Consider the following 26,732-nt stretch of genomic DNA (forward strand, 5'->3'; position numbering starts at 1 on the left):
TTCTTTATGCCAGCTTTCATTCCCACAGCTCCAGCTGGAGACATGCACCCACAACTTAGCAGTGCCTTGGGGTGTCCTGTCTACTGCAGGACGTCTTCAGTGCCCATAACGTTCTTCTCCAAATTAGGTTTCTGAGCCTTTGCATATTACATCACAGGGCTGGGCCCATGGGACTGCAATCCGGGAGGATGGTCCTAGGCACAAAATTGAATCTTGAGATAGGTCTAAGGTTTGCCATCAGGATTAATGAAAATAAGTGTACACCGGGGCATGCTTCACTAACTGGAAGTCACTATTATTAAACTGAGAACCGGAAGGGCTAGATCTGGTCATAATTCTGTTAACCAACTGCATAACCTTTAAGCCGGAACCTTTACCTGTAAAATAAAGGAGTAGATGATTTCTCCAGTTCCTTCCCGCTCAAGTGTCCTATGACTGATTAAAATTATGTGTCCATTAAGCAGCTCAAAAGGAATTATGTCTGGCTATCTGAAAGCTCACAGCCAGCCAAGGAGGAAGTGCACTAAAGGCGAGGCCCGGCTGCTCCCCAGCCCAGCACTGCTCGCTGCTGTGTTAATTGACAATGATGGAACAAAGCACATTTTATGAGAGTTCATGAGTAGGAAGTCCAAGGAGCCTATACATTAGTCACGTCTGAAAATCTTCCTTGCTGGTCCTGCAAGCCAGAGGAGCTGGCCACTGCCACTTACCCAGATGAAGGACATGTCGATCCAGAAAAGGGAACAGTTAGCCAACATTGCTTTATTTGCTCAATCGTAATAACTTTTTCCAGGGAGAAAACCCACGTAAAACTATTGGAGACAGAATTCTGGATCAAGTCAGGCCACAACATAAAATTACATGGTAACAATGGTCTCCAATTTGAGAGAAGCAGCATAATGCACCCCAACCTCCCACAAAAACCTCAAACCCTTGACTCGGGAAAACAAGAAGGTCATCTTCCATCGGCCCTTTCCTCCACTGTCCTTCTCCCCAGACTCCCTTGTGCTTGTATAGGGCAGGGAGGGGTAAGGAAAACAGATCAGTTGCCCTGGGACGTCAATCACCCTGTTGAAACTGGTCTGAGTGCCAGACAGACAACCAACATGGCTCCTGCCTTCAGGGTCCACATCTTGAAGAGGGAGAGGAACACAGGAAATGGAAAAGCACCCTGGAATTAGATGCTGGGCCAGATGAACTGGAAGTAGTTCTTAAACTTGAGTGTGCCTCAGACTCCCCAGGGGCCTTGTTAAAACACAGATGGCTAGACCCTACCCCCAGGGAGCTAGATTCACTTGGCTTGGGGTAGGGCTGATATTTTGCATTTCTAACATGGTCCTAGGTGCTGCTGGTCCATAGACCATGTGCTGAGAACCAGTACTACAGACAGTGCTCCCCATACTTTAGTGTGCGTATGAACCGCCTGGGGGCCTGGGTAAAGTGTGAGCTCTGATTCAGCAGGTCTGGTACAGGGCTAGGGATCTGCATTTCTAACAAGCTCCCAGGTGATGCCAATGCTGCCGGTCTGTGGTCCCCATTCAGTAGCAAGGGTGCTCCATCTAGACCAGAGTGTGATGGAAGTTAGAGAATGAGATGAGTTTGGGTTGATATTGGCAGGGAAGGTTTAATGGTAGTTACTGGGACTTGGGCTGGTCCCAGAAGAATGAGCAGGATTTAAATAAATGAAAAGGCTGTATTCTGGGAGAGAAATTTGAACACAGACAGGGCGGTGGGATTGAGAATAGCAAGGGTAGAGGAGTGGGCACTGGCCATTGTCACAGATGAGTGACACACCGAGGCTTGGGGCCCTGCATGCAGGCGCCTTGCTCCATCTGCCTCCACACCACCCTCCCCAAGCAAGAAGCTGGTGCAGTTCCAGTAAGTCTACTGGCAGCCAGTCTTCATAATGGAAATAATTATTGTTCTGTGAGTCCCAGACTGACAGCTCCCAATCCTGCCTGCTCAGCCAACTGGGTTATTTTTTCACCTGGCTTGTTAGCAATGGTTTGTTGTTTGGCAGCATGAAGTGACTCCCACTTTTCCTTTCCAATCTCAAGTCAGAGAAACCTCAGTTCTCCGAGAGTTGAATGTCTCGAAGCCACACGGGGGTGGTTATGGATTTCTCAGCAGGCAGCCAGGGCAACCAGCATGTTCTATATGGTGCTCAGTCATGGGTTCCTCTCCTGATCCAGTGAGGGTCATGATCAGATAAAGGAGTAATAGCCCCTTCTTTCCCACACCCACCCCCCAACCTTGGAAGTCTTCCGTTTTCAGGTTTGTTCTAACAAAAGGCTCACCTTTTCTTCAATAGAGCTGCATGTGTAGGTGCAGAAACATGCGAGCTCATGTGCAAAAGGCCTGTCATTTGAAAATGAAACTACTATTTATTGGGTTTCCCAGCAGTGCTGTAACGAGGCACTACAAACTGAGTGGCTTATAACAACAGAAATTTATTTTCTCACAGTCCTGGAGACTGGGGAGTCCAAAATCAAGGTGTTGGCAAGGGCATGCTCCCTCTGAAGCCTCTAGGGCATGGACCTCACCCCTGGGGAGCTGGAAACCCTTCCTTGCTTTTTCCAGTTTCGGGTATCCCTGGGTGTTCCTTGGCTTGTGGCAGAACCACTCCAGTCTCCACCTCTGTCTTCACAAGCCGTTCTCCCCAGTGTCTGTGTCCAAATTTCCTTTTCCTTGTAAGGACATCAGTCACACAAGGTATCTGTAAGGACCCACCCTACTCCACCTGCATCTTCTTAACTAATTAGATCTGTCATAACTTTATTCCCAAATAAGGTCACATTCTGAGGTACTGGTAGTTAAAACTCCAACATATCTTTTTGGGGGGCCCAATTCAACTCCTAACAGGTAACTTTATAGTTTATAACATTATATTACCTGCTGAATTTGACCTTGTCTTTTAGAGGGGCTTTTTCCTCTAAACTAGAATAGTGACCTGTTTTAAATAAAATCGATGCTGAACTATAAATCAGGCCCTATTCTCAAGGTCAGCTGAGAAGGGCTCAAACACTTATCCACCCCATACCTATTAGCCAGTGATGAATCTGTAAGCTCTAAATAGCAAGTTACTGAGCAGATTATGATAATGAATTCACTTATCCATTCAACACATGTAAGGCCCTTCTGCATGCCAGGCCGTGGTGCTGAGGACACAACAGTAAACAAAAGAGACAAAAGTCCCTGCCCTCTCAGAGCTTGCCTTCCAGTGTGGGAAAGACAAAATAAATAAGAACATGGTTTGGGTAAACAGAAAAAAGATGAGTATGATGAGGATTTGCTATTTTAAAGAGAGCGGTCAGAGAAGGGCCAGGATAAGGCCATGGGGTAAGGCAGGGAGAAAACAGCACATGTAAGTTCCTCAACGTGAGTCTTTGTGAAGACTCTGCTTCTCACTGAGAGAAGCCATGGCACACTCCCAAACCTTCACTCTGGTGGCTGTGTTGAAACTGACTTTGGAGGTAAAACTGACAAAGCAGGATACTTGCAATACAGAGGGGCTGATGTCTTGGCTTTGGGTGGTAGCGGATGAGATGAAAATTGCTGGAATCGGGATCTGTTTCAAGGTAGGAACCCACAGTGTTTGCCGCTGGGGAGCACTGGGACCAAGTCTGGCATGAGAGGCGGGACAGTACAGCTGCCATTAGCTGTGCTGGGGGAGGACCAGGAACTCCGTTTGGGATGCTTTAAGTTTGCACAACATCAACTCTGTGATCTTAAAAAGAGCTTTCCAATAAAGTGGAAATAGGTTCAAATAACGTGGTGCCAAAAGAATACATTCAAAGGTATTCTTGGTACACAGGAGTCAAAATTGCCTAGAGGGAAAAGAGGCACTCAGGTGGTGAACACAACTAATAGTAATTTTTTCAAGAGGTGACTAGCAGCCATAGGAAAGGGAGCCTTTTAACCCTTTGTTTCTAGTTATTCTGGCTAAAAATGGTTAGCTGTAGAGAAAAATATGAAAGGCGGGGGGTCTTTTTATTTATACCTCCTGTACTGTTTTAATTTTTATTACCATAGCCATGTATTAATTGTATATCAAGAAATTGGCAAGCACTTTTCATGCGGCTTTAAAAATTATGTGTCAAAGCAGAATAAGGTAGACTTCTAAGTTCTTACACAAAAGAATGTTCAAAATAATAAGTGATTTAAGTTACCAAATAATATGTATACCATAATTCTGCGCATGTATCTGCATACCTGTGCCCATGTATTTGTACAAAGAAAAAGGCCTAGAAGGATAGACAGGAACTGCTTTTTACCTTATATTCTGCAGGTTTGCCACTTTTAAAAGGAGTACTTTTTGCATGTGTTTAAATTGAATGTGATGGCCTTCCCTCTACTTCGCTTCAGCCAGAGCTCAAGCCTCCACACACTCCAAACAAGAATTGTTGAATAGTTTAAAGAAATAGGCGGGCTGGGCACGGTAGCTCACGCCTGTAATCCCAGCACTTTGGAAGGACGAGGCAGGCAGATCATGAGGTCAGGAGTTTGAGACCAGCCTGACCAACGTGGTGAAACCCGGTATCTACTAAAAATACAAAAATGAGTTGGGCTTGGTGGCACATGCCTGTAATCCCAGCTACTCAGGAGGCTGAGGCAGGAGAATCCCTTGAAACCCAGGAGGTGGAGGTTGCAGTGAGCTGAGATCACGCCACTGCACTCTAGCCTGGGCAACAGAGCGAGACTCTGTCTCAAAAAAAAAAAATAAATAAGCAACAGAAAAAAAAACTGAAGCTTTTCAGTCCCCCTTGGCTCTTATTCCTGCTAGAAATAATGTGACTATGTAATAATAAATTCTACTTAAGGGTTGTATCAGTCTGTTTTCACACTGCTATAAGGAACTGCCCCAGTCTGGGTAATTTATAAAGGAAACAGGTTTAATTGACTCACAGTTCAGCATGGGTGGGAAGGCCACAGGAAACTTGCAATCACGGCAAAAGGGGAAGCAAGGCACCTTCCTCACAAGGCAGTAGGAAGAATGACAGAAGGAGGAACTTGCCAAACCCTTAAAAACCATCAGATCTCGTGAGAATTCACTCACTATCACGAGAACAGCATCGGGGAAACAGCTCCATGATTCAATTACCTCCACCTGGTCTCTCCCTTGACATGTGGGGATTATGGGGATTACAATTCAAGATGAGATTTTGGGTGGGGACACAGCCAAACCATACCAAGGGTTTTTTGTTGTTTCTTCAGTAGTAGGGCCAAAATGTTTTTTGAAGTTAAGCACGATTCTTATAAGAATATAGAATGAAAATGTGAAAAATGTTTAACTCATTAATAGAGAACCGCCAGAGTGGTAAAAGAGCATTAGAATAACTGAGTACTTATGGTCCATGAAGAAAGAATTTGGGAATAAAGTTGCTAGGTTAAATACAAAACTGGTTAACGTTCTTCAGGGCAATACAGCCAAAACTTTTGGGGTTATCTTTTCTACCAGAGTTCATTTGCATCTCCTCTGGACAAAAATCTGCAAGTTACATGCAACCTCCCAGAGTCTGGGCCCTAATCAAGAGTAAATAGAAAATCAAAGAAAGGCACACACATGGCTCCCCAAAAGAATTAAACAGTCGTTGAGTGGGTCTGCTGGTATGATATTGAAATGCCATGCAAATCCTTTTGCCTTATTTCTACGTATTGGATGCTTTTTTTGACATAAGATAAAAATTTACATATTGGCAGCTGTAGCTATCTAGTTTCCAAATGGAGTTTGCTCTTAAAATTAATCTGCTTTTCACCATCTTTTGTGTCTGTTTTTAATAAGAAAAATGACCACCAAGCAATGTGGGCATTGCAATAACATTCCATTATTTAAAAACATACTTTAATATTATTCTGATACTCACTTTGCTGGGTACTAAAACATTTTATGAGCAATTTAAATTTTTTATCAGGACCAAAAAAAAAAAAAAAAGTCCACATATCTGCTGTGAGTTGATGCCAACAGCAAAAACATTGATACTCATTGCAGTTTCAAATATTTATATGGATTTTGGACACAACCTTGCACAAGTTACTCAATTTCTTAGCTTCATCCTCTATGCAGAATAAGACCTTCACTAAACTGCTATATTTATGATTTTGTGATGACACATATAAACCTGGGATTACACTGTTGTGTTCCTATTTTACTTTTATATCCACATTCATAATTTCAGTTTCGGGGCTTCCTTACAGGTTGCTTGTTTTATAATTTGTCTTGCTACATGACGTGTTCTTTTACCTTCTTGTGATTTTAAAAAGGATAAACTATGTGTTTTAATTGTATCAATTGCTTTGTTTTTTCAAAAACAGAAATTAGACTATACTCATCCTTCTTTCCTTTCTGTAGAGTGAAATGGTGTCATTTGAAGTCCCTTAACATTAGATTTGAAATTTAACAAATCTCACTCTCCCTCTTTTACCAACTGCCATTTTAAATTATGGGCATTCTGTTCTCACAATTTACTGTCACATTTTTTAGAAACACAGAAAACACCAAAATGTGAATTTATATAGAAATTGTTAAAATTACACACCTAGCGTAAATAGCAAATATTCAGTCAACTTTTCACTATGCTCTTGAAAAGCTATTACACATTTGTCAACAATTTGTTTAGCGTAGCAATATGTTAACCTAAACACACTAAATTCAGCATCCATTTCAGGCAGAGATGAGCCGTCTGATTTACTCAACACATTTCTAGTTAGAGAGCATCACATGAGACAAAGTGGAATCGTGCCACATATTTGAATGAAGCCAGAAGCAGCACTTTTTAGGACTCTTAGATCTGTTTTGTGCATGAGCTGTTGTTTTTGAAACACTCTCATGTTTAGTCATTAATTTGCATAAAATTTTTTCTGTGTTGTAACTTTAAGTGCAGTTTGCATGCAAGACCAGTATACCCAAAAACCTTGAAAAAATGGTGCAGCAACTCTGAATATACCTTCAAACCATTGAACTGTACACTTTAAATGGGTAAACTATATGATATATGAATTATTCTCAATAAAACAAAAAACTAGCACAGTAAACATTCATGCTCAGCCTAGACAATGTGGTGAAACCCTATCTCTACAAAATATACAAAAATTAGCTGGGCATGATGGCGCATGCCTATAGTCCAAGCTACTTAGGAGGCTGAGGTGGGAGGATCACCTGAGCCCAGGGAGGTCAAGGCTGCAGTGAGCTGTCATCAAGCTACTGCAATCCAGCCTGGGCAACAGAGTGAGACCCTGTCTCAAAAAAGAAAAAAAAAAAACATGCTATTACGGTTTATATACAAACTGTTTACTTCTGAGTTAAATTTTTAAGGGGGCTAGACTTAGCAGAAAGGGAGACATTGAGACAAGAATCAGTGTAAACGCTGAGTGGTAGGTGGGGTTGAAATATATCATGCCCACGGAGAAAGATTTAAGACCTACAAAATGACAGGGAGCCAAGGCTACATTTAGGATTCAGAGGGTAGAGAAGCCAGTGAAAAACAGAAAACCAAAAAAGACAGAGCAAAAGAGCAAATGACAGAGCAAAAGAGCAAATAGATAATGACTAAAGACTAACTTGGATATTTGCTTTGCTATCATAAAGTAAAGGGTTTTATTCAGTTCCAAATTTCAGAAAAAAACAAATAGCTCCACACTTTTCAACTACTGTTAGGAGTAATATTCTAAACTCAAAAGTAACTTAAATCCATTTTATCCTATCTTACCTCACTTTGTGAAAGAGAAACCTTATAACAAACCACAATTCTTTTGTTTTTACAAAGGAAAAAATTAGAAAACATAAGTTACTTTTCTAGTAGAAAAAGGAAATAACGAATACTGAAATGTGGGAAATATGAACGGTAATGAATATATTTTAAGGTAAATATCCAAGGTATTATTTGGTCAATCAGAAACTTAGAATCTGAATAATGCCTAAAGTTTCAACGCTAAACAAGGTAAATGAATTATTCTTTATTTCCAGTAACAAGACAAGAGAAAATGAGTGCCTGGGTCTACAATCAGCAACTGCTGATTCTGAACTTAAGTGACTTTTTTTTTTTTTTTTCTGATAAAGGATGAAGAAATTTTGAATATAATCTAACAAACCACATGAAAATGTTAAACAATTTTTCCTTTTCATATTCCATCTGATCCCAGTCAAGAGTAAAGAGAATATGAGTCAAGAGAAAATAAAATTAAACATTAAGCATTTGCTTCTCTGGGTGGAATGGCTTAAAGCTTTCCCTCCCAAGGTCTAGGAAACTTGCTTTTTTAAAAAAAAAGTTTTCCTAAGGATTTTTCTACATTTTAATGCAATTTTAGAAATTTTTTTAGATTTCCAACAAATATAAGATAAACCGTTTTGGAAAGTATGAATAATTCCAGAAACAGAGACTTTGTTTCTAGGCCATGAAACTTAATTTCCTCTTAATATTCACTTACCTACAGCCCAAACTCTCCATGTATTTTGCCAGATATTACTTATGAGCTACAAACAGGGCAATTACTTTTTCTGCTTCATGAGATTACTCATACACACACAAAAAAAGCATTTTAAGGCTGCTGCTGCTGATTGCATCTGAGGCCACAGAAGTTACCCTGCGCCTTCCTCTGAAGACACAAAGCAAACTTTCCTTTCTCCTGATTCGGGTAATTTCCACCACAGAACAGCTTTTCCATAGCAGTAATAAACTAGTTTGGGAATCTTTGGAAGCCAAACAACAATAAAATACAAAAAATGTAGATGGCATATGGCTGGTGTTAGTCTGTTTTCCCTTCAAGTTCTTCCCGGTTTTTGATAGCTTCATAAGGGCCTAATTGTTGGCAGCACCAAAATAAAAGATTTTTAAACTTTATACTTACTAAGTGCTTTTTGTCATTTCCTCACCTCTCTATACATTCCTACCTGATCACCAAATTATTATGGAGATTTGAACAGTGCTTGGCTTATAGTATTCAGTAAATGTTGATAACAATTGTCATTATCCAGAGACAGAAAATATGTTCAATATTTAAATCTTAACCTATTTTTATCAATGATTACTTGAGAAAATCAAGTGTAATTCAAGCTGAACTCTTTCAAATTGTAGGACATGTTTATTTTTAAGCCTAAATGTTATGTCTCTCTAGCCTAGCTATATAAAATAGCCTTTCTCTCAAAGCCAATGCTAGGGCAAGAAAATGGACAGGGGACTAGATTAAAAGAACTGAGAGAAACATAAAAAAAAAAAATGCAATTGAAACCTGATTGGCTCTAGATCCAAATAAAAATCTACACACTTTGGAATATGGGCTGGATATGGCTGACATTACAGAATTATTCATTTTATTAGGTATTATAATGGTATTGTGGTTATAAAGGAGGATGTCCTCAATCTTAGAAAATGTAGGCTGAAATATTTAGGGGCGAAGTACTGTGACCTCGTCACCTTATTTTCAAATGTTTCAGCAAAAAGTTATATATTTAAATAGAAAAAGCAAATGTGGCACAATATTAACAACTCATGAATTTAACTGAAGAGTTTATTATACTTTCAACTTTTCTGCAGATGTAACATTTTTTAAATAAAAAGTTGAGAATAAAAAAATCACAAAAATAGTTTTGCTGAAGAAAATACCACACATTCCTTTTTACTATAATATTTAATATAATAATATACACTTATACATTGGTATTATTTACACTTCATTAAAAAAAACCCATTCAACCTGAAATTAACTACCTTAAACACACTATTTAACTTTCAGTGCTAATGTATTAATTTCTTAAATATAAATCAAAATAGCTCAATATCTAAATTACTGATAACTAGATGCAGATGTAAGGATCATGAATCAATACTTCCATTAAGTTAAAAATATCAATAATTTTTTGCAACATTTCTTCTTTGTTTTTCTTCTTTGTCTAGAATAGTCTGTTTTAAGCTCAAAGTAGCATCTTGAAATCCAGGATTTAAGTCTAAGACCTTCTTGAAATCTTCCAAAGCATCATCAAAATATCCTGTACCAGAACCCAAAAAATGGAAAAGAGAAAAGAAACCGAGTATTTCTATATATTATTCATGGAAAAGCTTTGATACATGTACTTTTGCTTTTATATTTATGAGCTTTCAGTCACTTCTAGTAAAGGAATCTTTTTATCTTAATAATATAGAGATGTGTATATCAAAGTAATTTTGTGTGCCCTTAGGGAATAATACACCTAAAATTAGCTATGGGTTTATTTATTGAGATTTAACAGGTAAATATTATCAATCATCTTAAAATTTTAATAAAACTGTATCACCTGTTTTACATAATTGCAGTAAAATTAAGAAACGGGAACTAATTTTCTTTTTGACACTTTAAATGAAGAAACACTACCTATGGTCCCTTTAATCCAAGAATCTAAACTTCACTTTCTATTGTCTTGTGTGTCTTCAAAGATTTTAACTCAGAAAAGTTTCACAGGTGAACATCTGAATTGCCCTCATTTCACAGCTGGGAATGCACAAGCACAAAGTAATGGGGTCACCCCTGCTCCTGCGCCCAGGTCCAATTCCCACCCCAGTGCTCTGCTGTGATCTATAACGCCTATCAAAAGCCTAAAATAAACTCAGGGACACTTCCTTTGTTCCAAGCTCTAAACCTAAATTTCACAGAACTTTAAAATTTGATTACCACGTTAGTTTTACAACATTTGAAAGCTCTGAAATAACAGAATACAGTCAATGACAAAACTCAAAAAGAAAAAAAATTCTTACCCAGCCTATACAGTATCAACCCTCTGTTGTAATATGGAACTTCAAAATTGGGTTGGACTTCTATGGCAGATGTGTAGTCATCCATGGCTTCATAAAAATCAACCCTGAAGTACTTGATTTGCCCCCTGTTGTTATATGCAGTAGCCAAATCCTCAGGGCTGCATTTGCTTTAAACAAAAAGTTCACATTAAAAACACCGTGTTACCAAATTCCTCTCATTTCCACTTTCATTCTCTTTTGGGTATTGTCAAACTTCACAGCCTATAACATGCAGCATCAACACTGAAAATCCAAGCTGAAGAAAAAACGTACAAATAAAGAGCTAAAATCAATTTTTGTTTAACCCTGTTATCTACTTTTGTAGGGTTATACCACTGCAATGTCAACCTGAAAAGCATACTAACTTTACAGTGTGTTCACTGCCAATTTGTTCTGCTGAATATAACATTAAAATGATTGTTCATTTTTCTAAGCACACACCAGCAGGGCAAAGAAGACAGAACAGATAAATACTAAGCAAAGAGGGAAAGCCAGCCCAAAGCCCGAGTTTGCTATGGATATGTCACAATGTGAATCAATTTCATTCTCAAATTTTTAAGTGATCTTAAAACAATAAGATTTGAAATCATTTTCCACCAATAAAAAACTAAAGTTAACGCTAAGTGAAAATTCAACATGCTACGATCCCCAGGAAGTTATCTCTGGGGACAGAGTTGCCCTCCCTCCAGCCTCAGCTGGCATCCTCCCCAATGCCAGGCTGGCTTCCTGCTAGGAGGGTGGGCTCCTTTAGACCCCCTCAGGGCTCCAGTCAATTTTGATGTCCTTTGTGCAGAACTGGCTCTGCACCTGAGGGAACTAGAGGTTGCCCAAAGAGCTTTAAATTAGCAGCCATTCCTGGGCTGTACAGCCAGGTAGCTCTGACCAGCCACCAGCTCAACAGGTCACAGCCCCTGGCTGCCTTGAACCTTTCTCTGCACAGGACAAATAGTCTGCACAGAGAACATTAGTGCCTCTGCTCTGAGTCAGGGATGATTCTGTTTCCCTTTCTTTTTTCCCAAAGCAATTCTCAAATTAGAACCAAACAGAGAATTCATCTGTCACTTCTTTGTAATACCCCGTAGTAAAAAGTATAGTCCTCCGAAAGTATCTGTGAAGGCAGTTAGTGTAAATAAAAGCTACTTCTCTTAATATCTTGATCCTTGAGATTTCAGACAGGGACTGTAACTACTGCTACCCTAAGAGGCACTCACAGCCCAAGGGCCTCCTTCAAACCAAGTTTGCTAACGATGGAGAGGAACTGTCGCAATTTTAGAAAACGTCTATTCTATGAGCTGTGATGGAGACTGGATGTAGGGATACTTCTGGATGCCACTAAGCACCCCCGTTAAAACCTAGATTACAAGACGGTACCACTCCCCTTCACCTATGTGTGACATGACACTAGTTGAACTGCTCCCAGTAGAGAGTTTAAAGAAAAAAGCAATCTCAGGATGCCAGTAAGGTTTTAGTCATTAAATCGAAGTTTCAAAATTATTGTTATAAGTTTTTAATACTAATTATATATTCGTAATATAGAGAATCATAAAATGTTAGACTTAGAATTAGATCTCATTAAATCAAATTCTAAAATCGTTTTCATGTGGAAATTTTGTTTCATATTTTAAAGAAATGGACTAACAGTTGAAGCCGAAATTTTCTGTAATATTAAAATTTTTGTAATGATAGTATTTATTATAATGGAATTCATTCAAGTTACCTAACCCAAATGTGAATTTTTAGGATTTGCTAACTTTCGCAAAAAAAAATATTTTTTATATATATATAAAGTGTGTGTATATATATTTTTTATATATAAAGTGTGTGTATATATATACACACACACTTTGGAAATTAGGTTTATGACTAAAGCTATACTTTAGATATTAAAAGAAAACGTCACAAACCATTCAGAATGAAAGGCATTCAAAAATTGCAAATATTGTTTCAAAATGATTTAGTGACCCAATACTTAGAAAATAAATGTAAGCTCCAAAAGATAAATTGAAGGGAAAAAGTTGAAATGACAGAATTCAGTTTCAATCCTTGAGTTCCTAGAATTTTATCAAAAGCTTATTTTACAGATGAAAAACTGAGGCTGAGACATTAGCCATGTGGCAGTGCCAAGACTGGAATTCAGGCATGATGAACTCCCTTCTACTGCGCTATGACAAACTGTCTTTCCTGTGCTGGTAAGGCATAGCTATTATATATGCTACAGACACTTGTGTTCTTAGGCTGAGAGGTGCAAAGAAGGAAGAATAACAAGACTAGACAGCAACAGCATACCTGATGCTGATAAATACTTTTTAAAATCTACTAGGTAAGTCTACTCTTAGAGCTTGAAACATGAATAGTTTCGCTTTCTATGTTTACTTATCTTTTTTATGGGGGAGGTGCACTGAGGAAAGTAGATGGTATCATCTTATTGCCTGTTCAGAAACTTCTATTATTATTCTTGTGTGTTATTGAAATGAGAAGGCAATTTTCTTTCTGGTTTAATTCCATGTAGCGTAACAAACAGGGTAAGAATCAAGTCCTTAGTGTTTAGTTAAGCCTCATACAAAAGACAAGCTGGCATCCTGTCCAGAAAACTCAAATCCACAACAGACAACTCACAACTATTCAAAAAGCTGTTCAACCAACCCCTCTGTTCTTTTCTCATCCTGATCCACTCCATACCATCAACAAGCCCAGTCGAGGCAAGACTTGGAGTAAAAACAAATGCTACACATCCAGGCACAAGCCGAAAAGATGCTTTGGGCAAGCAGACAGTAACAGGTGAAGCCGCTCACATCACAAAGAGAAAGTCAGCGAATCGTTATGTGCTTCCTGGTGAAAGTACACACACCCACCTAAAAAGTATTCTTGCCATGATATTGAATCTGAATTCAATTGGATCAAACCTCAAGGTTTAACCACCAATTCACAGCAATATGAGACAGATGACCACATTAAACGACAGAAGAGATTCAGTCAGCAAGTCCAAAACACGGAAATTCAAAGGACACAAGAATCGGTTTCCTCAACAAATAAAGAGGGGAAGGTGGAGAAGAGACTTAAAAAGACTTGATGTGTATCCTGACTTGAACTAACTGCGAAAAGGGAACCAAAGAACAAAACACCTTATTAGTCGATCAGAATGGTTCCAACACTGACGACTTGATATTAAGTAACTATGTGATGATGACATGGTGGTTCCTTCTGAAACATCCATGGATGAATACAATAGGTAAACTGATAATGCTTAAGCCAAGTGATAAACACCTAGACGTTCGTTATGCTCTCTTCCACATATTTAAACGTTTTTCACAAGTGAAAAACACCACCAAGAGCCTGCGCCGTGACACTGAGATGGGAGTCGCGGTACTGTGGCCCTACGCAGCCGTGACCCCTTCCCTTCCCAGGTCGCGGATTTCCCGCCAGCTAAAATCACGAGTGGAAAATTCCTATCTGTCCTAAGTCTCTGGGTGCGAATGAGGAACGTGGAAGGAGAGACGGCGGGGTGAGAGGCGGCGGCCCGCGCCCGAGGATCGCGCAGAGGGCTTGGTTCCCGGAAATCTCTCCGCACCGTCGCGGCAGCTGGCTCCTCACGGGTGGGCTTCTCCCCGCGTTCTCCGCCGCCCTCGTCCTAGGCCTCGCCTAGGCCTTTCTAGAAAGACGAACGTCCGCCCGCTCAGTCCTAGTGCTGGGTTATGACAAGCGCCGACCGTGAGCTCCAGAGGCAAAGATAGGAGCCCAAACAACCCCAACGTCGCCTCCACCCGGGGTCGCCGCGGCCCCAGGTCTCGCGATAGTTACCTCCCGGGACTCTCGTCGCTGGAGGCCGCGCAAGCGCACCGGCGAATGTAAGCGGAGTACAGTGCCTCGGCCTCCGCGTACTCTCCATTGTTGAAATGAGCCTGGGCGAGTGTTAGGGTTGCGTGGCTTTCTTGCCGCTGTCCTTCCATAGCAGCCAAGGCCTAGTTTTCGGTGTAGAATGGGGGTTGACCTCCGAGCGGTTAGAGGTGGCACCACAAAGCCACTTCCACACCCTGGAATCTACCTTGACAGCCAACCTTGGCGCTAGGTTTGTGCCTTATGGGGATCCGTCGTCTCGCGAGATAACGGTTCCGCTGCTGGCGGGGCGTTTGCAGTGGCCCTTGTGAACTATGTTTCTGCCGTTACCAGTGTTGGACCCGCCTTCCTCTTTTCCTAGAAAAGGCGCAGATGCGTGGTCGCAAACTGATTTCCAAGTCCGTTGTCTGATGCTGCGAGACACTATCCGTTTGTTACAGCGAATTGGGGGCCGATGACGCTGGAGGTGGAAGAAGCCGCGGTTCTGTTTCTTAATGGCGAATTAGCCTGCGGACGTCCTGTCATTCCCTTGCCTTTTAGCGTCCCAACTTAGCAAAACTCCGCGTTTAGGGTGTTCTGAGTAGGCTTTGTCTACCCTGAAACGCTTTGTGTCGACATTCCACCAGGTCTGTTCCACGGTCCAAACTTCTCTACCTTTTTTGACCCTCTAGAATTGTGTTACGATTAGTAGTATATTGTGTCGAGAGTCTGGGATCTTTGATGTTAGTTATATTCCCTGGCTGTTTATGCCAAAGGGAAATCCAAATAGTAATTTATTACGTACATTACGTATAATTCAAATTAAAATTTTGTAAGAACAGTTGCCAACCACGCTACCCTACATGCCTGCTGTGTATCTTCTCGGCGTCCCTCGATTCTGTTTTGCTTCCCAAAGTACTTGAGCCCTTTCCGTCATAAAAAGTAAAGATGAAAAATATATTTGGAGCATGATACTTACATGCGGAAGTCTTAACAGGACATAAATTGTGTGCTTTTGGCTGCTTTCATTAGATTTTTAATTTTTTCCTTTTACCACCACTGAAAAAAATACAAATACAGTGGATTAAGGTTAAATTAAAAAGCACTAGTAGAAATTAAAAGATTGCAAGACTACAAAAAAATAAACTGGCATTTCTGGTGTAAGCAAATGGACAGCTCAATAGAACAAAAGCCCAGAAACATACCTCAAATAGGCTGTATTTTGTAAAAGACATGTAACATATATGGGGAAAGGACAGATTATTCAAATGAGTGCTATTGGGAGGATTAGTTAACCATTTGGGGAAAAATACATTTAAGCATTTAAGCTCCCAATTGACATAATATTCATTCCAGGTGAATTAAAAGATTAAATAAATAAGATAAAAAGCTTTTTTTTTTCAGTTCCCATTTATTTTTGCCTCTTGGAGCAATGTCATCTTTTCAATATGAAAAAAACAAAACAAAAAACAAATCTGAAGTACAGGATAGAACAAAACCAAGTGTGTTGGGGGAAGCAACAGCAAAGGGAAGACAAGATGTTGCAAAAAAAAAAATGGAGGGGGGATTCCCCTCTCCTCTGGGGAATGACTCAAACACTGATGTGGCAGCGTACACTATTCTACATAAAGCCAGGGATGTTAATCCTTTTGGGGGATAAGAAAAAGTGGAGATGGCCAGGCTCTGTGGCTCATGCCTGTAATCCCAGCACTTTGGGAGGCCTAGGCGGGCAGATCACCTGAGGACAGGAGTTTGATAACAGCCTGGCCAACATGGCAAAACCCCGTCTCTACTAAAAATGCAAAAAATTAGCTGGGCGTGGTGGCGGGTGCCTGTAATCCCAGCTACTCATGAGGCTGAGGCACAAGAATCCCTTCTGGGTGGAAGTGGTTGGCAGTGAGCTAATTTTTGTATTTTTTGTGGTGATGGGTTTCCCCATGTTGTCCAGGCTGATCTCCAACTCCTGGGTTCAAGACATCTGCCCACCTCAGCCTCCCAAAGTGCTAGGACTACAGGCATGAGCCACCGCACCTGACTAGAAGTTTTGCTTTGTTCTGTTCAAGGAATAACAGGAATATTTATGTGTCTAAAAACCAGTGATCTAAGAGGAAAATAGCAGGATATGTAATGGAAATTGGGGATTTGGGAAGGGGGTTTCTAAATAGGAGTAAGATTCTTAACCTTTTTTGTGCTATGGCACCTTTACAAGTGTGGTGAAGCCTATGTCGTTTCAATGTTTTCAAGTGTTTTTAAAACATAGGATTACAAAGGAAAGGAATTATATTAAAAAACAGTTGGAATATTAACAGATTTATTAAAAAGTAAAACATTTATTAACATTAAATATCAAGAACAAATGGCAAACACAAAACTAGCAGAGGAAGAAAATAATAAAAGATCAAAACACAGATAAAACAAAAATGGAATCAACAAAACCAAAAGTTGGTTCTTAAAAAGATTAAAAAAGTTAATAAAACTTGAGCTAAATTGACTACGAAAAAGGAAAAGACTCAGATTACTAAAATCAGAAATGAAAATGGGAACATTACCATCAATTCTACAGAAATAAAGAGGATTATAAGAGAGTACTATGAACAATTGTATGCTGAAAAATGGGAGTAACTACATGAAATGAGCAAATGCCTAGAAACAAAAAACCTACGAAGATTGTATCATGAAGAAATAGAAAATATGAATAGACGTGTGTATTAGTCTGTTCTCACACTGCTAATAAAGACGTACCCAAGACTGGGTAATTTTTTTGTTTTTAAGAAAAAAGAGGTTTAATGGACTCACAGTTCCACGTGGATGGGGAGGCCTTATAATCATGGCAGAAGGCAAACAGCACGTCTTACATGGCAGCAGGCAAGAGAGAATGAGAGAACAGTGAAGGGGGAAATCCCTTATAAAACCATAAGATTTTGTGAGACTTAGTCACTACCATGAGAACAGTATGGGGGAAACTGCCCCCATGATTCAGTTTTTTCTCCCACCGGCTCCCTCCCACAACATGTGGGAATTATGGGAGCTACAATTCAAGATGAGATTTGGGTGAGGACACACACAAACCATATCAACCTGTAACTTGTAAGGAGATTCAATCAGTAATCTAAAAATAACCTCTTGACAAAGAAAAGCCCTGGACCTGATGGCTTCACTGATGAATTCTACTAAATGTTTAAGGAAGAACCAACACCAGTCCTTCTTAAGATTCCATTTAAAAAATGGTTATAACTAATGAATTCAGCAAGGTAGGAGGATATGAAATCAACATGCAAAAATCAGTTGCATTTTTATTCACTAACAATGAAGCTATCCAAAAATGAAATTAAGAAAACAATTCCAGCCAGGCACAGTGGCTCACACCTGTAATCCCAACATTTTTGGAGGCCAAGGTGGATGGATCACTTGAGGTCAGGAGTTCGAGACCAGCCTGGCCAACATGGCAAAACCCTGTATCTACGAAAAATACAAAATTTAGCCAGGTGTGGTGGCAGGCACCTGTAATCCCAGTTACTCAGGGGGTGAGGCAGGAGACTCACTTGAACCTGGGAAGTGGAGGTTGCAGGGAGCCAAGATTGTGCCTTGCACCACTGCACTCCAGCCTGGGCAACAGAGCAAGACTCTGTCTCAAAAAAAAAAAAAAGAAAGAAAAGAAAACAATTCCATCTACAGTAACATCAAAAAGAAAAAAATATTTAGGAATTAATCAAGAAAGTAAAAGATGTGTACAATTAAAACTATAAAACATTGCTAAAAGAAATTGAAGAAGACATAAATGGAAAGACATCTCATGTACATGGATTAGAAGACTTAATATTGTTTAGATGTTAATATTATATAAATCAATCTTCAGATTCTATGGAATCCTTATCAAAATCCCAATGATGTTTCTGCAGAAATAGAAAACTCCATCCTCAAATTCATATGGAATTACAAGGACTCCCAAATAGCCAAAACAATTTTGGAAAAAGAACAAAGTTTAAGGACTCACTTCCTGATTTCAAAACTTACTGCAAAGCTGCATTACCCAAAACAAGTGTGTTATTGGCATAAAGACAGTTTTTTAAACAAATGGTGCTAGGAAAATTGGATATCCACTACAAAAGAATGAAGCTGGTCTCTTACACCATATACAAAAATTAAAATAGATCATGACCTAAATATAAGAACTAAAATTACAAACTCTTAGGAAAAAACATATGGCAAAAGCTTAACAACACTGAATTTGGCAATGATTTTGTGAATATGACATCAATGGCACAGGCAACAAAAGAAAAAACTACACAAATTGGGCTTGACAAGAATTTAAAAACCTTTGTGCATGAAAAGACACTATCAGAGTAAAAAACAGAATATTTACAAGTCATGTATCTGATAAGGGATTAATACCCACACTATATAAAGAACTTCCAAAAACAACAATAAAGCAAAACAATCCAATGCAGAAATGGGCAAAGGATTTGAATAGACTTTTCTCTAAAGAAGATACACATATGGCCAATGAGAACATGAAAAAATGCTCAACGTCACTAATAATTAGGGAAATGCAAATTGAAACTACAATCAAATACCACTTCTCACCACTCCAGTAGGATGGAAACTATTAAGAAGAAATAAGTGTTGGTGAGGATGTGAAGAAACTGGAATCTTTATGCACTATTGGTGAGAATGTAAAATGGTGCAACCACATGGTGTGACAATTCTTCAAATACTAAGAATAACCATTTGATTCAGCAATTCCACTTCTAAGTATATACCCAAAATATCTGACAGCATGGTCTTAAAGAGATATTTACACATCCAGGTTCATAGCGGTATTGTTCACACTAGGTAAAATGTGGAAGCAATCCAAGTGTCTATCAACAGATGAGTGGATAAGCGAAATATGGTATACTCATACAATGGAATATTATTCAGTCTTAAAAAGAACAAATTCTGCCACGTGCTACAACATGGATGAAACTTGAGGACATTACATGAAGTGAATTAAGCCAGCCACAAAAAGACTGAATGATTCTATTTTTATGAGGTACCCAGAGTAGTCAAATTCATAGAGACAGAAAGTAGAATGTGGTTGCCAGGGACAGCTTTAAGGGGGATAGGGAGTTATTGTTCAATGAGCATACAGTTTCAGTTTTGCAAGATAAAGAATTCTGAAGATGGATGGTGGTGGTGGTGGTGGTGGTGGTGGTGGTGGTGGTGGTGGTGGTGGTGGAATATGAACAATATGAATGTACTTAATAAATATAGTTAATGCCACTTTAACTGTACACTTAAAAATGATTAAGATAGGCAAGGTGCAGGATCTCATGCCTGTAATGCCAGCACTTTGGGAAGCTGAGGTGGGAGGATTACTGTGCTAAGGAGTTTGAGGCTGCAGTGAGCTATGATTGTGCCACTGCACTCCAGCCTGGGTGACAGAGCTAGACCACGTCTTGTAAAAAATTTAAAAAAAATTTAAAAATGATTAAGATAGTAAATTTTGTGCTATGTCTATTTCATCACATAAAAAATATGGAAAAATCAAGTGGCAAGTGTGTTTTCTGTAAAAAGATCGTTGCAACAACATTGCATTGAAGTCATTATTACTGTATTTCTATTGATTTTGTTGCATCCACTGCAGTTTCTGCTTTATAAAGGTGGTTGCTACGAGCATAGATATTAGGTGTTATATCTATGTCTACAGATACTCTTACATGTTACATTGTCACTGTGAATAGCAGTTTTTAGCATTATCAAGTATTCTTGCTTGTAGTACTTAACTCACCACATCAACAAATTGAAGAAAAATCTCAACAGATGTAGAAAATGCAGTTAATAAAATTCAACTCCTTAGCAAACTAGGACAAGAAGACATACTTATTAAAACCTACCGACAAAATGTCTACAGAAAATATAATAAGCAATGATTTCTTAAAATATTGAAAAATTTCCTTTGAGATTAAGAATAAGACAAGAATGCCCAGTATCATCACTTTAATTATTCAGCATTGTATTGGGTATCCTAGCCAGTGCAATAAGATGATAAAAAGAAATGAAAGACATGACAATTGAGAAGTATTTTTTTTAAAAAAAGCAGTCATTAAACATGGTTATATAGTTGTATATGTAGAAAAGAAGTGCAAAGGACTGAGAGTGACAAAACATTTTTGAAGAAGAAAAACAAAGGAGGACTTGTACCAGATAGCAGGACCTATTTTAAAAACTATAATAACTGAGACATTCTGCTTTGGGCCAAAGAAAGACAAACAGATCAATGGAACAGAAAAAGAAATCAGAAATTGTTACCTACATATATGGACTTGATTTTTTTCCCATATAATTGCACATCAGTGTGGAAAGGGTGGACTTCAATCAGCTGGAGGTATCATTGACATTAATTTCTTTTAACTTTAGAGAAATCTCTTAGGAGCTGATATCTCTCAGCATAAAGACATAATACAGCAATTTATTCAGTCTCACCTCAGTTTCTTTTTCTTCTGTTAAATTCAACTAAAATAGAAATCTCTTATTAAAAAAATAAAACTACCAATGTTAAATGGGCAATTTGATGAGTTTTAACAAATGTGGAGTCATGTAATCATCACCAAAACCAAGATATGGAACATTTCTATCATCCCACAATGCTCCTTTGTATACCTTTGAAGTCAATCACCTACCCTTCTCCCTGATCTCAGGCACTACTTTCTATGATTTTGTCTTTTCTGGAATTTCATATAAATAACATCATACAGTATGCTGTCTTCTATATCTGGCTTCTTGCACGTAGCACAATGCTTTTAAGATTCATCTATGTTGTTACTTGTGTCAGTTCATTCCTTTTTATTGCTGAGTAGTATTTCATTGTGTGGATAGTCCACAATTTGTTTATACATTCACATATTAATGGATATTTGGTTTCTTTCCAGTTTCTGTCTACTATAAATAAAACTTACGTACATTTGCATTCAAGTCTTCCTGTAAATGTGTTTTGATTTCTTCTGGGTAAATTCCTAAGAGTGAGATTTCTGGGTTCTATGTTAAGTGTATATTTAAATTTAGAAGAAACTTCCAAACTTTTCCCAAGTGAGTGTACTGTTTTGCATTTCCATCAGCAATGTATGAGGGTTTCAGCTGTTCTATACCCTCACTATTTCTCTTGTCAATTTTAGCCATTGTAGTGTGTAGAAGCATCTCATTTTTTCTAAATCTCTCTCAATTTTACTACCTAGAAATTTAAACTGCCAAACAATAAATTAGCTAAATAATTTTGTTTTGTTTTTTTGTTTAGACAGAGTCTTGCTTTGTCACCCAGGCTGGAGTGTAGTGGCACAATCTTGGCTCACTGCAACCTCCGCCTCCCAGGTTCAAGCGATTCTCCCGCCTCAGCCTCCCAGGTAGCTGGGGCTACAGGAACCCGCCACCATGCCTGCCTAATTTTAGTATTTTTAGTAGAGACAGGGTTTCACCATATTGGCCAGGCTGGTCTCAAACTCCCGACCTTGTGATCCGCCTGCCTTGGCTTCCCAAAGCCTTTTAATGTCTACTTTCTTTTAATTTTAAAGAAATCTCTTAAGAACAAATACTGATTTTGGTACGAAGAAACCAATTATACAAATTCCTTCAGTGTCACTTCAGTTTTTTTCATCTCTTACATTCAACTAAAATATTTTATTTATAAAGATCAACTAATTTTACTTTCTCATCTATACCGTTATGTATTTTTGAAAATTTCTGCCATGAACATTTTTGCTTTTTTTTTTAATTATTATTATTTTTTGAGACGGAGTCTTGCTCTGTCGCCCAGGCTGGAGTGCAGTGGCACTATCTTGGCTCACTGCAAGCTCTGCCTCCCGGGTTCATGCCATTCTCCTGCCTCAGCCTCCCAAGTAGCTGGGACTACAGGCGTCCGCCACCACGCCCAGCTAATTTTTTGTATTTTTAGTAGAGACGGGGTTTCACCACGTTAGCCAGGATGGTCTCAATCTCCTGACGTCGTGATCCGCCCGCCTCAGCCTCCCAAAGTGCTGGGATTATAGGCGTGAGCCACTGCGCCTGGCCTGCTTTTTATATTCAAAAAAAAAAAAACCAGTAAATATTAGTTTCTTAGAGAAAAAAATGAATTGAGAAAATGGTCTTTAAAATAGACAGTAGAGGCAATACAATATTCCTATTTTCATTTTGAAACTGAGTAGAAAATCTTGGAGCTACATTATCAAATGTAGTATTCTTTATTTTCTCTTATAGGTCTAGTAGGACATAATTTCCTTCGTTCCTAAATGAGAACTCAGCATGACCATTAAGGAGTAGCTCACAGCAACCTCCAATATCTGACATTTGCCTAGTGCCTCTGGAAGGTTGTTGGGGTTTTTCCCCCCTTGTTTGGTAGCAAAAGTGGTATTGTATATCTATTGTACCTCCTGCTCCCTTTTCCCCTTCTCCACTCTGGAGCCCAATACCCTCCTAACCAACCCCCATCAGAATACTTAAATGAAGACACAGCAAACACCGTGTTCTCCGTAAGTTATAGATAAAGAAAACGTGGAATAAACACAAGTTATTTTTTTCTTCAATGTTTATTATTTTCGTATTTTTTCACTTAATACTACATAAAATCTAAGATCTCAGCTCTTGGAATACAGAAAAATAGTTTCAAAGTGTATTTTAGCAAAACAATTTATAATGAAATTAGCATTTGTGAATTAAGCATGTCAACATTACTGTGTTGCTTGTTAGGCACACTGCTTATTTGTACAGCTTTATCAGTCAGTTCCATCATTTCAATATTTTGGCCCACCACACCACTTTGAAACATGTAATGAAGGGCAAGTTTTATAATAAAAAAAACAACTTGGCATTACTCAACGGGAAGTCAGTACATGTTTTTTGCAAGGAGAACAACATAACTGTTTAATGATGCTGTCTTCAATATACTACCTAATTCTGTTTATGCAACTTCTCACCAGGTAATTGTTTTTTATGGTCAGTTTTGCTTTTCTTTGTCCCCCTAGTCAAGGGAGAGTTTGTTAGTGTTGTTATCTGGAAATTTCCTTCATGTCGAATAAAACCAACTAGATTGACTCATAATATAGGTGTTTTCTCTAGTACCATTTACACAGAAGACAAAGGTCCCCAAGACATTATGGCAGATCATTAAAACTTTCACAGATATAGATACCAAAGAGGCATAAGCTTTTACAAAAGTAAAAAAGATGTGCCTGTCTATATACATATGCGCGCACACACACACGCACACAAAATTAGGTCCACAAGGTATGAGAGGTTGTTTTTAGAGATACTGGTTTCTGGATCCAACTGAATGAGAAATATCAACTAGATATTGTTTAAATATCAACTAGATCCAGCAACTTAGGATCTACCTGGAATAATTCGTTGGTGGGAAAATTCTAGGGCTCAGGCAGCACAGAATTAGGGGGAAATGAGAAGCCTCCAAAAGAGAGTTTCCAAAGTTAGGTGAAGTCTGAGGAGTCAACAGGTGATTCTAGAACTAAAGCAAATGAAAGTGCAACCAACAAATCACAGTAAGGGGCTAGAGGCATGACAATCGAATGAATTCTCAGCTGATTCCTGAGACAGGAAAGGGAAAGAAGAGATACTCAAGCATTAGACCATGGACTAAGAATTGCAGCTCTGACCAAACTGTCCTGCAGGAACCTTTCAGACAGGCAGAACTAATAAGTGTGCCATCCCTACAACCCTGAACATTTCTCTTTCCTTGATGAAGCAGAGAATAGTCTCATCCCTAAAAACAGAAAGTCCTGTGGAAAGATGCAAGTTCAACAGGAGATGTACTGTCTTAGACAGACTTCTTTGTTAGGATGTGATTTTCTGATTTGGGGAAATTTCCCATTCTGGTATAGAACAAATGAGAAAGCTGGAATTCATTGTGTTACATTTAGGTAAGTAAGTTAGTAACCTAGGAGACTTATTAGGCAAAGTTAATAGAGCGTGTATGTGTGACCACAGATAGAAAGGAGCAAGAGATACCAAATATTCATGAAGCACTAAAAATATGAAAAGCCACAAAGATACCAAATATTCATGATACACTAAGTATGCATGAGACATATAAAGCCTTCAGTATGTGTGAGAAGTTGATTCAATTACCCACTGGTGACACTCATTCTGGCCTGTCCTTACCCAAGAAATACAATAAAATTCATGACTGCTCAGCAGACTAATAGGCAAGCTATTGCTGTGGTGAAGTGTACTTGCCCCTGACACCCTTCTATAGAGCAAGTGTACATCGTTGGCCTCAGGCACATTTCATCTGATTGAGTCATCTGGCTCAAGCGGCCACTCTGGTCCTTTTTGTAACCCGACTATTAGGGGAAAGCGTATGTGACAGAATGTGAGTCAGGACATAAAAACATTACAAAACCCAGGATTCAGGTGTTGCGGTCTTTCCACTCCACTGGCACGTTACACTAACAGTGTTAATCTATCATTGCTTTCTCCTTGTTCCTCACTGTGTATTGCAAATTGGTTCAATAAACCAATGTATTTTGAGAATTTTTATTTGGTTTATAAGGCTTTCTGTTCCATGACCTCTGGAATAGCTTGCGAGGCAGTCTATTTAGAGGCTACCATTGTACCAAGGTAATTTTCCACGAGGCGCATGAATAGAGACAGAGACCTCAAAGACTTCTGGTCTTCTCTTTTTATTTAGGCCAATGAGCCCACTCTCTATCCTAAGCTCATCTAGGCTCTAAATCTCTTCTCATAGCTCACTATTCCCAATCTGCAACATGCTGAACTTGTCTCTGTCTCTACAAGACAAAAACATATGAGATTGAGAAAGTGTATTGTAGCTGCAAAAACAAAGTTGCGTATCTCTATGTATTGCCTCTACTATATGTAAGCCAAACCTCAATAAAATAATCTTGATGAAATAGTGCAAAGGTCTGGTCTTTAGCCACAAAATGGGAATTCATGAGAAATAAACAGAGAACATTATTAGCTATGTAAAAGACATAAGAAATGATCCATTATGGATCACAACTGTTTATCTTTCAAATTAATAATAAATGAAAACAGACGCATATCAAGAAAAAATCACTCCCTCAACAATACTTGTGTAAATAAACGGTCCAACTTAGTGACAATGTTTCAACAGAAGCTATAACTACAAAATGGATATTTCTGTTTAAGTTATCTTCATTATAAATAGAGGCAAGTTTTCTGCACAATCATATGAAAGTGTAAATTCCAAATGCCATCTCTTAAATGAGACTAAAAGGACAGGTTTTAAAATAGAAGAATAGGGCTATTAGAAACAATTCAGATTGTAAAAAATGTCTTAAAATGCCATCGCCTCACTTCTGAAAATACAATAAAGAAGACATTCGACACTTATTTAATTAAATATGGCTATAGAGAAAGCTCATTTCATTATTACAATTGTTTAACTTCCTTGTAACATGGGTTATAAAAATTCTCTAAATTCAACTTTGCCCCACTCCCATGCTTCCCCCACTCCCTACTCCCTTCAAGATTTTTTAATGAATTCAGTTACCTTGACACTGTGAGAAAAAAATTTATTTGGAATATTTCCATGGTATCATGTAACCAAAAACAAGATAAACAAAAGAGAGAGGGTGAGAGAAAACATGGTTGATTTTCATACATTTATATGAAAATCGGCCTTATTATTTCACAGTTGTATTGCCATAAAAATTATTTTATTAACATATATTTTGTGCAAAAATTCAACTATAAATAATGAGGCTGATTTTCATACAAAACTCACAGAAATAAACCTTATTACATATACAGCATATAGCCATGTATATATGCTACATATATTTTACAGTTATATACAGTTTATCATTCCTTTATCCCACTGGACTATGGCATAAGGGGCAGAAGCTGTAGTGGCTTATTTCCTGAGCAAGGACACCGTGTTTGCATACACTGCACATCCAGAATTGATACTCAGTGATTGGGCTTCCTGTGGCAACGCATGTTGGCAGTTTCCCTTCTCCACTGTAAAACGGGGAGAAACAATTCATTATACTTTAAAACTTCTCATTAGTCTAACTTTATTTAATACACTTAAAAAAAACCTAAAGAATAAAACTTCTGAGATGAACATCAAATACTTTCATTTAAAAAAGTTATTTCAAGAAAAAACCTTTCTTACAATGACAAAAT

At 38.6% G+C, this 26,732-nt stretch overlaps 2 protein-coding genes across 4 annotated transcripts in view, besides 6 other annotated features; both read right to left on the bottom strand.

The window, feature by feature from the left end:
• Nucleotides 1-9,486: 9,486 nt before the first annotated feature.
• TTC32 (tetratricopeptide repeat domain 32) lies at nucleotides 9,487-14,839 on the bottom strand. The gene is made up of 3 exons (NM_001008237.3): nucleotides 14,562-14,839; nucleotides 10,725-10,891; nucleotides 9,487-9,982 (listed from the first exon to the last, which is right to left on the bottom strand). The coding sequence occupies exons 1-3, from the start codon at nucleotides 14,708-14,710 to the stop codon at nucleotides 9,843-9,845; spliced, it is 456 nt and encodes a 151-aa protein (NP_001008238.1). The 5' UTR covers nucleotides 14,711-14,839; the 3' UTR covers nucleotides 9,487-9,842.
• Nucleotides 13,800-14,681: an enhancer, noted in NCBI's record as "H3K27ac hESC enhancer chr2:20100705-20101586 (GRCh37/hg19 assembly coordinates)". NCBI's record gives its function as "activates a minimal SCP1, AML or CMV promoter by ChIP-STARR-seq in naive and primed H9 embryonic stem cells {active_cell/tissue: H9 hESC(naive and primed)}" and the evidence as "EXISTENCE:reporter gene assay evidence [ECO:0000049][PMID:30033119]".
• Nucleotides 13,932-14,121: an enhancer, noted in NCBI's record as "active region_15366". NCBI's record gives its function as "activates an Ori minimal core promoter by ATAC-STARR-seq in GM12878 lymphoblastoid cells {active_cell/tissue: GM12878}" and the evidence as "EXISTENCE:reporter gene assay evidence [ECO:0000049][PMID:35858748]".
• Nucleotides 14,262-14,321: an enhancer, noted in NCBI's record as "active region_15367". NCBI's record gives its function as "activates an Ori minimal core promoter by ATAC-STARR-seq in GM12878 lymphoblastoid cells {active_cell/tissue: GM12878}" and the evidence as "EXISTENCE:reporter gene assay evidence [ECO:0000049][PMID:35858748]".
• Nucleotides 14,402-14,501: an enhancer, noted in NCBI's record as "active region_15368". NCBI's record gives its function as "activates an Ori minimal core promoter by ATAC-STARR-seq in GM12878 lymphoblastoid cells {active_cell/tissue: GM12878}" and the evidence as "EXISTENCE:reporter gene assay evidence [ECO:0000049][PMID:35858748]".
• Nucleotides 14,682-15,562: an enhancer, noted in NCBI's record as "H3K27ac hESC enhancer chr2:20101587-20102467 (GRCh37/hg19 assembly coordinates)". NCBI's record gives its function as "activates a minimal SCP1, AML or CMV promoter by ChIP-STARR-seq in primed H9 embryonic stem cells {active_cell/tissue: H9 hESC(primed)}" and the evidence as "EXISTENCE:reporter gene assay evidence [ECO:0000049][PMID:30033119]".
• Nucleotides 14,952-15,191: an enhancer, noted in NCBI's record as "active region_15369". NCBI's record gives its function as "activates an Ori minimal core promoter by ATAC-STARR-seq in GM12878 lymphoblastoid cells {active_cell/tissue: GM12878}" and the evidence as "EXISTENCE:reporter gene assay evidence [ECO:0000049][PMID:35858748]".
• Nucleotides 23,119-26,732, bottom strand: part of WDR35 (WD repeat domain 35) — a 79,843-nt gene continuing 76,229 nt past the window's right edge. For all 3 annotated transcript variants that reach the window (NM_020779.4, NM_001006657.2, XM_011533007.3), the window contains one exon: nucleotides 23,119-26,564. In NM_020779.4, coding sequence (NP_065830.2) covers nucleotides 26,414-26,564 — 151 coding nt within the window. In that variant the 3' untranslated portion in view covers nucleotides 23,119-26,413. The remainder of the gene's footprint in view (nucleotides 26,565-26,732) is intronic.

Source organism: Homo sapiens, chromosome 2 (assembly GCF_000001405.40).
Source record: "Homo sapiens chromosome 2, GRCh38.p14 Primary Assembly".
NCBI lineage: Eukaryota > Metazoa > Chordata > Mammalia > Primates > Hominidae > Homo > Homo sapiens.